Here is a 14,903-nt window from a genome sequence, read left to right on the forward strand (position 1 = left end):
GTATGAATGAACTCATCACTCAGGTACTAAGCTCAGTACCTAATAGTTAGTTTTTCAACCCTGGCCCCCTTCCTCCTTCAGTAGTCCCAATTTTCTATTGTTGCCATCTTTATGTTCATGTATATCTAATATTTAGCTCCCACTTATAAGTGAGAACATGCAGTATTTGGTTTTCTGAGCCTGTATTAATTCACTTAGGATAATGGCCTCCAGCTGCATCCATGTTGCTGCAAAAGACAGGATTTCACTCTTTTTTATAAGTGCATAGTATTTTGTGGTGTATATACTTGTACAGTTTTGAAAGTTCCTCTCATTGATATCTAGTGTTATTCCATTGTGGTCAGAAAAGATACTTAATATGATTTCAATTATTTTAAATTTGTTGAGATTTGTTTTGTGGCCTTACACATGGTCTGTCCTGGAGAATGTTCCATGTGCTGATGAAGAGAATGTGTATTCCATAGCTATTTTATGAAGTATTCTGTAATTGTCTGTTAGGTCCATTTGGTCCAAGTACAGTTTCAATCCAATGTTGATCTTTTGTCTAGATGATCTGTTCAATGCCCATAGTAGGATGTTAAAGTCACCAACATTTACTGTGTTGGAATCTTTCTCCCCCTTTAAATCTAATAATATTTGCTTTATATGTCTGGGTGCTTTAGTGTTGAGTGCATGTATATTTATAATTGTTACATCTTCTTGGTGAATTGATCACTTTATTATTTCATAATGACCTTCTTTGTCTTTCTATGGTTTTGGAACTAAACTCTGTTTTATCTGATGTAAATATAGCTATTCCTGCTTGCTTTTGGTTTCTGTTTGCATGGAATATCTATCCCTTCACTTTCTGTCTGTATGTGTCTTTACAGGCAAAGTGAGTTTTTTGTAGGCAGCATATAGTTGAGTCATTTCCTTTATTCATTCAGGCAGTCTGTATCATTCAAGTGACTAATTGGTTTACATTCAAGGTTATTATAATAGGGGATGACTTACTGTAGTCATTTTGTTAATTGTATTATGTTTGTTTTGTATATTCTTTGTTTCTTCTTGTTTTTCATTTCAGTCTGATGGTCTTCTGTAGTATAAAAGGTTTGATTTTTTTTTCTCTCTCTCCTTTGCCTATCTGCTCTATTGATGAGTTTTATGCTTTTCCATGTTTTCATAATGGTGATTATCACCTTTTTGCTTCCAGATGCAGGGATCCCTTGAATATTTCTTATAGGGCTAGTCTAGCGGTTTTGCATTCCCCAGTTTTTGCTTGTCTGGGAAAGACTTCCTCCCTCATTTCTGAAGAATAGATTTACTGAGTCAAATATTCTTGGCTGGCAATATTTCTTCTTTCAGTACTTTGAATACCTCATTCTACTCTCTCCTGGTCTGGATAGTTTCAGCTGTCAGTCTAATGAGAATTCCTTTATATGTGACTTGATGCTTTTCTCTTGCTCTTTTTAGAATTATTTGTCTTTGACTTTTGACAATTTGATAAAATATGCCTTGGTGAGGACCTTTTGGGATTGAATCTATTTGGGAACCTTTGAGCTTCTTAGATCTATATGTCCACCCCTCTCCCCAGATTTGGGAAGTTTTAAACTATTGTTTCATTAAATAGTGTTTCTATGGCTTTCCAACTCTTTCCCTCAGGAACATCTACAATATGAAAATTTGTTTGCTTAATAGTGTCCTTTATTGTAGGCTTTCTTTATTCTTTTTCATTCTCATTTCTTTTTTTCTCCTCTGGGTAATTTTCAAATGATACATCAAGCTCAGAGATTCTTCTGCTGAAACAAGTCTCTTGTTGAAGCTCTGTACTATATTGTTTTATTTTGGTACTTGAATTATTCAGCTGCAAGGGTGTCCATTTGGGTTTTTTTGTTTGTTTGTTTTTTTTTTGTTTTTTTTTTTTTTTTGAGACAGAGTCTTGCTTTGTAGCCCAGGCTGGAGTGCAGTAGTGTGATCTTGACTCACTGCAACCTCCCCCTCCCGGGTTCAAGCATTCTCCTGTCTCAGCCTTCCAAGTAGCTGGGACTACAGGCACATGCCACCACACCTGGCTAATTTCTGTGTTTTTTAGTAGAGACAGGGTTTCAGTATATTGGTCAGGCTGGTCTCCAACTCCTGACCTCAGGTGATCCAGCCGCCTCGGCCTCCCAAAGTGCTAGGATTACAGGCATGAGCCACCACATCCGGCTGGTTCTTTTTTACTGTATCTATGTTTTTGTTGAATTTATCATTGACATAATGAATTGTTTTCCTAATTTTGTTGAATTGTCTATTTTTTTGTATCTCATGGAGTTTCCTTAAGGTAATTATTTTGAATTCCTTTTCCAGTAATTCATTTATTTCCTTTTCGTTCAGGTCTTTTACTAGAGTTATTATGTTCCTTTGGTGGTGTCATATTTCCTTGCTTTTTCATTTCTTGTGCCCCTGTGCTAATGTCTATGCATCTGGTGGAATAATCACCTCTTCTAAACTTTCTAGAGTGGCTTTTCTAGAGAAAGATTTTCACCTGCAGTTGGGTCTTAGTGCACTAGTTGAGAAGGGTGTGGTGACTTTGTTCCTGGGTAGGTGCAGTGGTATAGTCTCTGTGCAGCTTCTTTGGCTGCATTCAGCGTCAGCAAAAACTGTGGGCATCTCAGTGGCTTAGGGGTGTGGAAATTTGTTGTCGCAACAGCAGAGGTGTATGTTGTTAATGTCCTTGGTCCACAAATGCTTTTGGTGTTCTCCAATTCTTGTTTTCCCTACAATGAGGAGACTTCACTGAGGGGATCCCTCTTGGTGTCAGGTCTGACACGGCCTACAATCAACTGCCATGGTGCTGGATTCCAGGTGCAAATGTTTACATTGGCAGAGTCCTAGGATCAGAGTCTCACAAACCTATTTGCCCTCTCTGTGAACCTTTCACTCTCTGTGGCAGAGTTGGACATAGGTTGCCCACACCATCAGACTCCAACCCCTTAGCAGCTTGAGTCCAGGAAGTTAGGCTGTAGCTGTGACTCCACTCTTGCTAGGCAGGGAACAGCCCTGGACTGACTCTAAGGAAGAAGGTATGTTCTGGAGGTTTGAGCCTAGGGCACAGGGTATGGCTATAATTTGGGAGCTTGAGCCAACAGGGCTCAGTGGCAGCTTGGGTGCCTTGGGATGAGGCACCATGTAGTGGCAACACTAGACTCTAAGATGGTAGGATTCAGCAGTATCTCAGACTCTGTGAGGCCAAGTGCAGCAGCCAAGTACCCCAGTATGGCTGTTGTTTGGGTCCTGGGGGGCAAGAAGCAGCACCATGTGACTCCATTCCTTAGGGATGGCACTATCTCAGCAGCTTAGACTCTAGGGAGCTAGTCCAGCTCCAGGGAAGCAGGGTACTACAATTGTTTGGCCTGTAGGGTCGGGTATCTCTCCTCAGACACTGGTTTGTTTCCCTGGGATGAAGGGTACTATGTTAGCTCAGCCATGGAACGTGCAGTTGCTCAGCTCAGCCAAAACATTGATTCTCCAAGGGTTGATGTGCCACTCTACTCAGGCCTTGGGGGCCTGACTGTTCTGAGCAGCCCAGGCACCATTTCCCTGCCACACAGGGCTCTGACAAAGTACTTTTTCCTTGAGAGGGCAGTGCACAGTTTCAACTCAGGACCCCAGTGGCAGGGCATAGCCAAGTCTGAAAGAGGTAGATGGAGCTGTTCTGCCAAAGCACCGTATCCCCAGGAAAGGGCACACAGCTCCATCTCTAGCCCAAGGGTACAGGGGGAGGGGTAGGTGAAACAGTTCTATCTGCTGCTTGGCTCCACAGAGAAAGGTGTAACAGTTGCTTGGCCTGGGGATGTTAGGCCACTCTGTTGGGGTGGTTCCCCAGTAGTTTAGCATAAGGGATGAAGGGGTGCTGTGGCTACTCACCTCTGGAGCAAGATGTGAGTAGTTCCAAGATGGCATTGCGCAGTAGCCATGTAGGCCACGGGGCAGGCACAGCTGGCTCCTTCTCTGAGGGGAACACAGTTGTATGGCCTCTAGGTAGCTACCCCAGCTGGGCTTAGGGCCTGTGAGGACTGCAGGGGACCCCAATAGGGGTCCAAGCTGTTGCTGGGGGCTGCTGGGATCCTCTTGCCTACCTTTTCACCATAGAGAGAAGTTCCTCCTGGTTCCTGGCTGATCTCAGCTGGGGGATGAGGTGGCAGGGTCCTGTTGTTTCCTTCCATTCTCTATGTGGGTCTCCTGAGTTTCTGTGCTCACCAGGGTTTCTGTTACTCCTCTGATGTACTCTGGTGCTGTCCTTTATTTTCATTAAAATATGTTTTTTTATTTATTGTTTTGGCTGTCTTTGTGGAAGGGATGAGTGCTAGTATTTTCTAGTTGAATATCTTGCTGTCATTTCTCCTTTGAGTGGGTTCTGTCATCCTGCCTGTTCCTTCATTAATGTGATAAATAAAACTTGTACTCATGCCAACTATGTATCTGCATGAAAATTATATTTTTATCATTTCTATAATTATACTTTCACAAAAGGATATAACAAAGTTCCACGGAAGTGTTGGTTGGGCTAAAGAAACAGGAATTCAGTTTAGCTTCCAGTATCAACTCCCAGAATGTCTGTATCTATTCTTATTTTGTTATAAGATTAACTACTTGATTTTCACAATAATCTCAAGATTAATAAATACATTAATAAATAATGACCAATTCACCACCATGATCAATCAATAATCATACCCAACCAATAAAGAATCATCAGAATAATCTTTACTAATTTCTTCACTATGGAAAAAACTACCCAAATCTCCAAATCTTTTAAATCACATGATAACACCATTTCAACTACCTTCTAACCATACAGCATGAAAGCAAAGAAAGCTCCACGATCAAACCTAAAGATAAAGTCTCCAGACAACCATATTTGAACCCCAGGTTTCAGGATGCTCTTCAGTAGCCATTGAAGTAGGATAACTAAATGCTACAAGCAAAGCACCTAAACACCCTAAACATGCTAAAACAGAGCTATTAATGCTAAAAAAATGCCTACCAAAAGTCACTGCAATAACAGATCCAACCCTATCACTTACAACTAACCCAAACATTCAAAACTGGAGACAGTTTTGAAGAAATGTTTGAAAACCAAAAATAAGGCCAGGCACAGTGGCTCACATCTGTAATCCCAGCACTTTGGGGGGCTGAGGCAGGTGGATCACCTGAGGTTAGGAGTTCGAGGCCAGCCTGGTCAACATGGTGAAACCCTCTATTAAAAACACAAAAAATTAGCTGGTCATGGTGGCGGGCGCCTGTAGTCCCAGCTATTCAGGAGGCTGAAGGAGGAGAACTGCTTGAACTCAGGAGGCGGAGGCTTCAGTGTGCCGAGATCATGCCACTGCACTCCAGCCTGGGTGACAGTGAAACTCCGTTTCAAAACAAATAAAAATAAGGCTGGGTGCGGTGGCTCACACTTGTAATCCCAGTACTTTGGGAGGCCAAGGTGGGCAGATCACAAGGTCAGGAGTTCAAGACCAGCCTGGCCAATATGGTGAAACCCCATCTCTACTAAAAATACAAAAAAATTAGCTGGGCATGGTGGCGCGTAGCTATAATCCCAATTACTCGAGAGGCTGAGGCAGGAGAATTGCTCGAATTGGAACCCGGGAGGCAGAGGTTGCAGTGAGCCGAGATCACACCACCGCATTCCACCCTGGGCTACAGAGCGAGACTCTGTCTCAAAAATAAATAAATAAATATAAAAAAAGAAAACTAAAAATAAGGATGCTATTTAATAAGTTATTAAGTATTAAATGTTTCTGAATGTACTTAGAATTATGAAAAAAATTAAATTCATGGTTCCCACATGGTAGCTAACCATGACTGCTGACATGAGAAACAACTGTTGTCTTTCAGCAATAAGGACCACTAAGTTCCAATAACGACCAAGAAAAAGCATCCATTAATTAAAATTCATCAACTCTACTGTTCCATCAAACATCTCAGCCTGATGAAACTTTGGCTCAATTTTAGGAGTAAGTTTAATTCTGTAAATCCTAATAAGACTTTTATCAGCCTTATATTATACATCAGATACAATAATAGGCTTTTCATCTAGAACACACCTTTGCCAAAATATTAACTATAGCTAACTAATTCAATATATACATCCTAATGGAGCACCTCTAGTTTTTATGTGTCTATATATGAGACATATTGCAGACGCTACATATACTCAGAAACCTAGAATATCAGAGTAATCACATTATTTTCATATATGGAAATAGCATGGATAGACTATGTACTCCTATGAGGACAAATATTCTGAGTAACTACAGTAATAACAAATCCACTTTCAGCTATTTCTTATATCAATACTAATTAATACAATGAATCTGAAGTGGAGTCTCAGTAGATGATACAGTTTGGATATGTGTCTCCTCCTAATCTTATGTTGAAATGTGACCTCCAATGTTGGAAGTGAGGCCTAGTGAGAGGCATTTGGGTCATGGGGGCAGATCCCTTATGAATGATTTGGTGGCCTCCCCTTAGTAATGAGTGAATTCTCATTCTATTAGTTCAAGCAAGAGCTGGTTGTTGAAAAGAGCCTGGTACCTCCTTCTCTCTTTCTTGCTCCCTCTCTCGCCATATGACATGCCTTGCTCCCCCTTCATCTTCTGCCATGAGTAAAAGCTTCCTCACCAGAAGCCGAGCAGATGCTGGTATCATGCTTGTAGAGCATGTAGAACCATGAGTCAAATAAACCTCTTTTCTTTTTAAATTACCCAGTCTCAGGTATTCCTTTATAGCAAAACAAAATGGACAAACACAGTAGGTAAGTCCATCTGTACATAATTCTTCACTTTTCCCTATTTTTACATGAAACATGATCAAACGGCCCTCAGGATTAACATCAAACATAAATAAAATTCCATTCCACCAGTACACAATCAAAAATCCCTTTTCTTTTCCTAATTACACTACTACCGTATAAGTGAGCTATTACCACAGCTGACCCTCACACCTTGCTATCTCTGCTGTCACATGTGCTAGCAATATGGATGCATGCTATCTATCTTGTTGAGATGTTTATTTTCAAAATCAAAGTCTCAAATGAGTATAGCTGATTGGTCAGAACCTAGGTCACATGAATTCCTAGTCATAAAATAAGCTAGAAAACGTAGGTTGTTTTGTTTTCTTTAATCTATCTTGAGAAAGTAGGCTTGACCTTTATCAAATGCAATTCTGACTTTTTACCCACTTAAAAACACTCAAGGATAATTCTAAACTCTTTAACTTGTTATGTAAGCATTGCCATAATCTCCGATCAACATGTTTTCCAGATTATTCTCCCAATCTATCGCTCATCTACTTCCTACCCCTCTTCCTTCCTCTCTTCTTTCCTCTATCCCTCCCTCCCTCTCCTACACACACACACACACACACACACACACACACACACACACACCCTGTTGCTCCAGGATAATCTCTGAAACACATCATCATTACTGCCCTTGCTTCCCCTTGGTAATGATCTTCCCTCAGCTCAAATGGTAGCTGTGCATAAAGTATTCCCCAACTTCTTCCAGAGGAACCATTCATACTTGCCTCAAAATTACACTGTACACTGCACAGCACGTGCTTTATACTGTACCACATCCATTATTAGTCTATACATCTCCTTCCAGAATCTCCCATCTACATTCCTCAGTCTGAGTTAGAAGTTGTTCTTGTGTGCTCCTGAAGCAACCTGAAATTAACTCGTTTTGCTCTTATCACAATGTACAGTAACTGTCTGTTTCTTATACTAGCCTGTGAATTCCATTAAGGCTGGATGTGTGTTTATTCACCATTATATTCCATGTGCCTTGTACCATTAGGTGCTCAATAAATATTTGTTGAATGGCAAGCAGAAAAAATCAAAAATATATGTCCTAGTCTGCCTCATCTAGGAAAATGTTATGTACATGTTAGCCATACTGTAAAAGCTTATGAAATATTTGGGTAAAAAGAAATTACAAGATAAGGGTAAGTTTACAAGTTTGTCTTCAGACTTTCTAGTGAATGTAGAAAGCAGCAATTAGACTCACTTCATTACTGAAAAAGCCCTCCTGCCAATACTATAGTCCTGCTACCAAACTGGGATGAAATCGTGTGGATACTTGCCTATCTTCATCTATGGCCTTTATTTTCAGGAGCAGCACATGATCTCTTACAAAAATTCAATGCAGGTTTGTGGAACTTGGGAATGTGTCTTACCTCTGGTTTTACAAACCATTTGCCTGCATTCAGAGTCGATAGGAAATCCCAGTTGAAGAAGGCAGGGTTCTCGCAGGCAGATTCTGGCTGAACTTCCCCAATATTGGTTGTTCTTTTCAGGTCAAAGTCATGCATGAGGAAAGGCACATGATCATAACTGAGGCAGAGGTAGAAAAGAAGGGCAGGGGTAGATAGGCTGAATTTAGCTACCTTGGTAGACAGGCTCCCCAGACAGTCCTTCAAGGTCACAAGTGTCACTAGGGCTCCTTACTCCCTCTCAAATCTTAGAAAAGGGCTACATATCAGTCATTTACACTTTGATGTCAATATTTTTCTGCTCTAGGGATCAATCTTTCATGATATATAATCACATTAGTGATCGTGAAAGACTAGCTTCTCTATTCAGGGGCTTTCTGGCATTAGGAAAACAGCAGGCACAGTAGTGGCCTGAAAATAAAGTGAATGGAGGTAGGGATGATGCAAGGTCCTCAGGTTCCAGGACCATACTAAGCAGGTGTCCACACAGTTTTCCTGTATTATTCTGATCCTTTCCCAGCTAGGCACTGCACTGAGTATTTCTTTTTGTTTGTTTGCTTGGTTTTTGTTTTTGTTTTTTTGAGACGGAGTCTTGCTCTGTCACCCAGACTGGAGTGCAGTGGCATGATCTCGGCTCACCACAACTGTGATCACACAAGTGATTCTTCTGCCTCAGCCTCCCGAGTAGCTGAGACTACAGGCATGCACCACAACACCTGGCTTATTTTTGTATTTTTTAGTAGAGACAGGATTTTGTCATGTTGGCCAGGCTGGTCTCGAACTCCTGGCCTCAAGTGATCCGCCCACCTCAGCCTCCCAAAGTGCTGGGATTATAGGCATGAGCCACCGTGCCCAGCCTACACTGAATATTTCTGGTCCTAGACTTTCCACATCAGATAGTATCATAAGGTAAGTTCCTTGTTCTTCTATCTGCAATTTGCTTTGGAGAATCTCTGATTTTATGAAACTATCTCTCCCTTTCTCATTAAAATATCTATGAAGAGAACATCTATAATGAGGAAGATAAGGCTTAGAACTTACTCTTCTGCTATAAGCCACTAGAAAACTGGACAAAATAAAGGAAATAACTATTTTCAGTTAATGGACAAAAGGATGCACAATATTACTACAATCTCTGAGAAAAGCAAAAAAAAAAAAAATGACATAAGCAATTCCATCGCCCAGGCTTCTTTCCTGCAGGTGAATACTGAATTTCAGTACAGGGTGGGGGAACCTAAAAGGGACCTAGCTGTCTTGCTGAAATGAGAAGAAAGAGATTAGAGTAAGGGGGGAGCCAAGACAGCTAGAATTTATGGGCTAGAGTCCCATAAAGGATAGAGTTATGCAAAAACAAACACACAGTTCCAAGAAAATATGCAAAAGTCCATAAGTGTATGGCTAAATATCAATCTGTATGTGTACAGAGTAAAACTATGAAGCTTGGCAAGAACAACTTCTAAGAAAAGAAAATATTACCAGACAGTTCTAAGACAATCGGAGCTTGCACAGGGGTATGAATCATTCAAGTTCCATCCAGCGAGAGAGGAGAGTCTTCAGTAATTACATAGGCTTTCTTTAGAGACTCCAGAAGATCACACCTTAGAAAAGGGGATAATTGGCCAGGCGCGGTGGCTCACGCCTGTAATCCCAACACTTTGGTGGGCGGATCATGAGGTCGAGATCAAGACCATCCTGGCCAACATAGTGAAACCCCGTCTCTACTAAAAATACAAAAATTAGCCAGGCATGGTGGTACACGCCTGTAGTCCCAGCTACTCAAGTGGCTGAGGCAGGAGAATGCTTGAACCTGGGAGGCGGAGGTTGCAGTTAGACAAAATCGCGCCATTGGACTCCAGCCTGGGCAACAAGAGTGAAACTCCATCTCAGAAAAAAAAATGGTCGGGGGAGGGGGGGGAATAATTTAGAACTACAATGGCCTTAGAGCCACTTTAGATCCTCTAAAAAAGAGCTTAAAAACAAGCTTCAAAAGAAAAGACCAAACTAGTCTGGAAGTAACAACTATCTGCTAGAAAATGACCAACCTTAAAGGATACAAGATATAGCACCCAACAATGTAAAACTACAAGTCCAGCATATAATCAAAACTTACTAGAGATATAAACAAGCAGGAAAATGTGACCATATGGAAGAGGAATTACTCAACAGGGACAAACTCAAAAGTGAAAGAGATGACAGAATTCATAGACAAGGGTGTTAAACAGTGTAGAACAAAATTATAAAGGTGTAAACAAGGTATGTAAAGGAAAACATGAACATAATGAAGATACACATACAAGGTATAAAAAACGGAAATTTAGAGATAAGATATAATAACTGAAATGAAAATTTCATTGCATGAAATTTAAAACAGATCAGATATTGCAGATCATGCAAAGAACAATGAATTTAAAGATGCAGCATTAGAATCTATCCAGATGAAAGCATAGAAAGAAGACTGAAACAAAAAAGAATGAGGCATCAGTGACCTGTAAGGCAATGATCAAGCAGTATTATATATATGTAAATGGAGTCCTAAAAAAGAAGGGAGGTGCAGAAAAAAACATTTCAAAAAGTAAAACTAAAAATTTTTTCAAAATCTGATGAAGATTTGAACTGAATGCTGAATTCTTTCCTGGCTAAAAGTCTCCAAACTAATGTCTTCAAATTCTCTTTCCATTTTTCTCACTTAGACTCAATGAAATTACTACTATATTTTTCCTGCAGGCATATCTTGTGATACATAAACTACAGGCAAGAAAAATATGTCAGATTGCCACTGCCTGCTTCCACGTTAACTGAAGATGCTTTGGGCCTAACATCTTTTTTTTTTTTTGGAAACAGAATCTTACTCTGTCACCCAGGCTGGAGTGTAGCGGTGCCATCTCAGTTCACTGCAACCTCCGCCTCCCAGGTTCAAGTGATTCTCCTGCCTCAGCCTCCCGAGTAGCTGGGATTACAGGTGCCCACCACCACGCCCAGCTAATTTTTCTATTTTTAGTAGAGATGGGGTTTCACCATGTTGGCCAGGCTGGTCTCGAACTCCTGACCTCAGGTGATCTCCCTGCCTCGGCCTCCCAAAATGCTGGGATTACAGGCTTGAGCCACCACGCCCAGCCAAATCTAACATCTAGACACCTCAACTGACTGCCCTCCAGACTAAGGAAACCGATTTATAGATTTCTCCAAACATTACATTTGTTTTTCTTCCATTTGAAAGCTCATTTGCAATACTAACTCCTGAAACGAGACACAGCTGTTTAATGGGACTGGGCTATTCCCAGAAATAGAAGACTGGTTTACGGGGATCCTTTGCCACTCAGCTATTAACTCAGTTTTCCCACCAACTCAGCTTTTAGTGTGTGAAACCTCTAGGGAAGCTTCAGATGGGGATGTTGGAGCTCAGAAACCTACACCCAAATTGTGGTATGCTGACATGCTGAAATAAAGAAGGCTGTTAGGCATAATGGTTTAAGCTCTTTGGCCCAGGCAGTTCTGAATAATTAAATTGTATTAGATTTCCTTTTGGCAAAACAAGTGGTATCTGCGCAATAGCTAATACCACTTGTTGTGAATAGAAAAAATTTCCAAATAAGCTAAATAGTTATGAGAGGTGTGTACCACAGATTCCCCTTAAATGATCTCTTTAGCTGGCTTCCTAAGGGAATGGGAAACTGGTTTTAGTTCCCCTTACAAACTCTTATTATTGTCATCTTGCTCTTCTTTCTATTCACAACAGACAATGAGGACTAGTAACAAAAGAACTGACACTTTTGTCATGCAGAATCAGAACCCTATACCTGGCACTCAAGAACATTTACAGGCTACTACAAAGCAGTTTCATTCCTCAAATCCTAATTATGGTACCCTTGACCCCTGTCAGCAGGAAATCAGCCAAAGCAGTCATGGCCCAATTCCTCCTTAATGATCACACTTCAGGACTGAGGGATAAAGAAGATAAGGGGGTACTGAAGCCATCCTCACAGGGTTAACAAGAATTCTGGACAGAAATATAGCTCTAATTAAGTATTAATCAGGCTTCATTTTGAACCACTTCCTTGTAATGGAAAATCATTTGACATTGACCATTTGCATCCCCAGTGTATCTATAGATAGGATTTCTGACATTAGAATCACAAGGCTTTTGTTTAAGAATTGCTTAAGATGTTTTTCAGATCCCATATTCCGGTAAAACAGCTGATATGAACCAGTTTGAGGACCCCCACAGAGGAACAGAATCAGCATGAGAATATAGTTTCTTCATCTCCCTGTCCCTTGACTTTACCCTGTACTCTTTGACCAATCAACGATCTGCACACTTCAGCCCACTCCAAAACCATTAAAAACTCTAGCCCCAAACTCCTCAGGGAGATGGATTTGAGGTTTCCTCCTATTTCCTCATTTGATGACTCTATCACTAAATCTTTCTCTGCTGCAAAAAAAAAAAAAAAAAAAAAAAGGAGCTGGGGCTAGGGGTGGGCATATGTGGAGGAGAATACAGATAAGCATCCAGAAGATTTCTTATCAAAACATAAGACAGAAAACTAGGAAATAACAATTTTTACATGCTTGAAGAAAACAACTGTCAACTTAGAATTCTATATGCAGCAAAAATATTCTTCAAAAATGAAGGGAAAATTAAAATATTTCATACAAACAAAAAGCAGAATAATTCATTTCCAGCATACCTTTACTGTAAAAAAGATTAAAATAATTATTAGACAAAAAGGAAATTGATACAATTTGAAACTTGGATCTACACAAAAGAATAGTGCCAGAAATGATAAATACGTGAGTAAATATAGAAACTTTTTTCTCATTTTTTAAAAACAGAATTAACTGTTTAAAGCAAAAAGTAATAGCAATGTATAATGAGGTTCGTGATAGCACCAGGTCATACTATGAGAGAGATGAAATGTTAGTGTACTGATAAAAGACATATGCTTTACACAAAAATGTATAATACTCAAAGGGAGAAATAAGTTAAAGATCATATTGTAAACTCTAGCACAACGACTGAAAAAAAAGAAAAGAGGTATAGCTAATAATCCAACAGTAGAGATGAAGTTCTAAAAAATGCTCCATTAGTCCAAAAGGAGGCAGGAAAGGAGAAAACAACAAAATGATAGTGCACTTGCCATGGGTCTAAAATTTAAAGGGGTGCCAAAAACTAATAAGCAAGATAAATACTATTTTAATACAATATTTAAAAGACAAAACCAATGCAAAAATCCACTATAAACAAAATATTAAATTTTAAATGAAGATAAGATAGTATTACTGATTTTTCCTTTTGTCTCAGGTTCTCATATGGCTTGGCATGACACATCTTCATTAAAATTTTTGACATTTTGTTCATCATGGATGCTAAAGGGTAGGCAATACCAACAGAAACTAGTTATCACACACATACTTGTTATGTGTGACATTTACATTTATTTCCCTTAAAAAGTTAGGCGGAGACTGCATTAGTAGAGAGGGAGTAAGAGCAATAGGCACAAACAAGCTTATTGGGATCTTTCAATCTAACTCAGCTTCCATGGACTTCCAGTGACTGTTGGCAAGATTTCTCCTATTGGTCCACACGAGGAGGTCAACATTTCTTCAGGATCTGTGTGTTTCTGCAATCCCCAGAAAACTTAATTCAGTGTTCTCCAGAGAGGTGTATGGCTGGCTGGGCTTTTATGCTAAAAATTTTATAAGAGGACTGGGAATAATAGCAGCCAAAAATTTTGCGTAGATCTTCTCAGAATCTCCCATAGGCTTTCACTCAGATGCAAATAACTTGTTTACATTACTTGCTTTTTAGATTTAAAAAATGTCTCTGCCTTTTCAAATGTTTCTCAAAAATATATTCAAATGAAGGTTTTTTCATATAAACGTGTTTCACATTTAAGAACAACATAGCTGCAATTTTATAAAGTGGGATGAGCACTATCAAATTCACTTTGGGGTGAACTTGGGGTAGGGATCAAACATCCTTTACAACTATATTATCACAAATCTCAAAAATTCCAACACTTTAAAGGCAAGAAGGGAAGAAGGAGCCAGCAAAAGAAGTCACATAGGAAACAGCCAGGTAGGAAGAAAATCAGGAGAGTATGGTATTCTAATAGCCAAATAAAGAAAGTCTTTCAAAAATGAAGGACTTCTCAAATGCTGAGAGAGTAAGATGAAAATGAAAATTTACTATGATGTTTAAGAAGTTTGAGGTCCCTGATAACTTAGTAAGAGCTCTGAGAAGTGGTGTAGAAGAAGCCTGATTGGGATAGGCTCAAAAAGGATTAAAAGTTATCCAAAACAAAGGGGAGAACTGAGAGAAGGCAAAGAAAGGCAATGTTGGAGTTCAAGACACTCACCCTAAAATATGACGGCAGGAGACCAGAATATGCCACCCCAATATATACCTCTTTGGCATATTGATTATTTTGAGCTGGTTATTTTGAGAAACTGCAGACACAGGAGAAGCTCTGAAAAGTTGCCCTTTTGTAAAGGAAATTTATATTTATAAAGGAAATTTTCATTAGTAAAAGTATCTGTACCAATAAGAGAGCTGCTCTGAAATCATTTTATTATCAACAGACTTATATCTGTTTAATAAGACAACCTTTATTCACCACACATTTTCTTCCCTCTTCTTACCACAATTTGTCTCTGCC

General features: G+C 39.7%; 1 protein-coding gene across 4 annotated transcripts in view; it reads right to left on the reverse strand.

Moving 5' to 3' along the window:
• The window catches only part of GDPD4 (glycerophosphodiester phosphodiesterase domain containing 4), an 85,142-nt gene that overhangs the window by 33,617 nt on the left and 36,622 nt on the right, over positions 1-14,903 (reverse strand). For all 4 annotated transcript variants that reach the window (XM_011544834.1, NM_182833.3, XM_047426557.1 and 1 more), the window contains one exon: positions 8,212-8,368. In XM_011544834.1, coding sequence (XP_011543136.1) covers positions 8,212-8,368 — 157 coding nt within the window. The remainder of the gene's footprint in view (positions 1-8,211; positions 8,369-14,903) is intronic.

Source organism: Homo sapiens, chromosome 11, assembly GCF_000001405.40.
Source record: "Homo sapiens chromosome 11, GRCh38.p14 Primary Assembly".
Classification (NCBI taxonomy): Eukaryota; Metazoa; Chordata; class Mammalia; order Primates; family Hominidae; genus Homo; species Homo sapiens.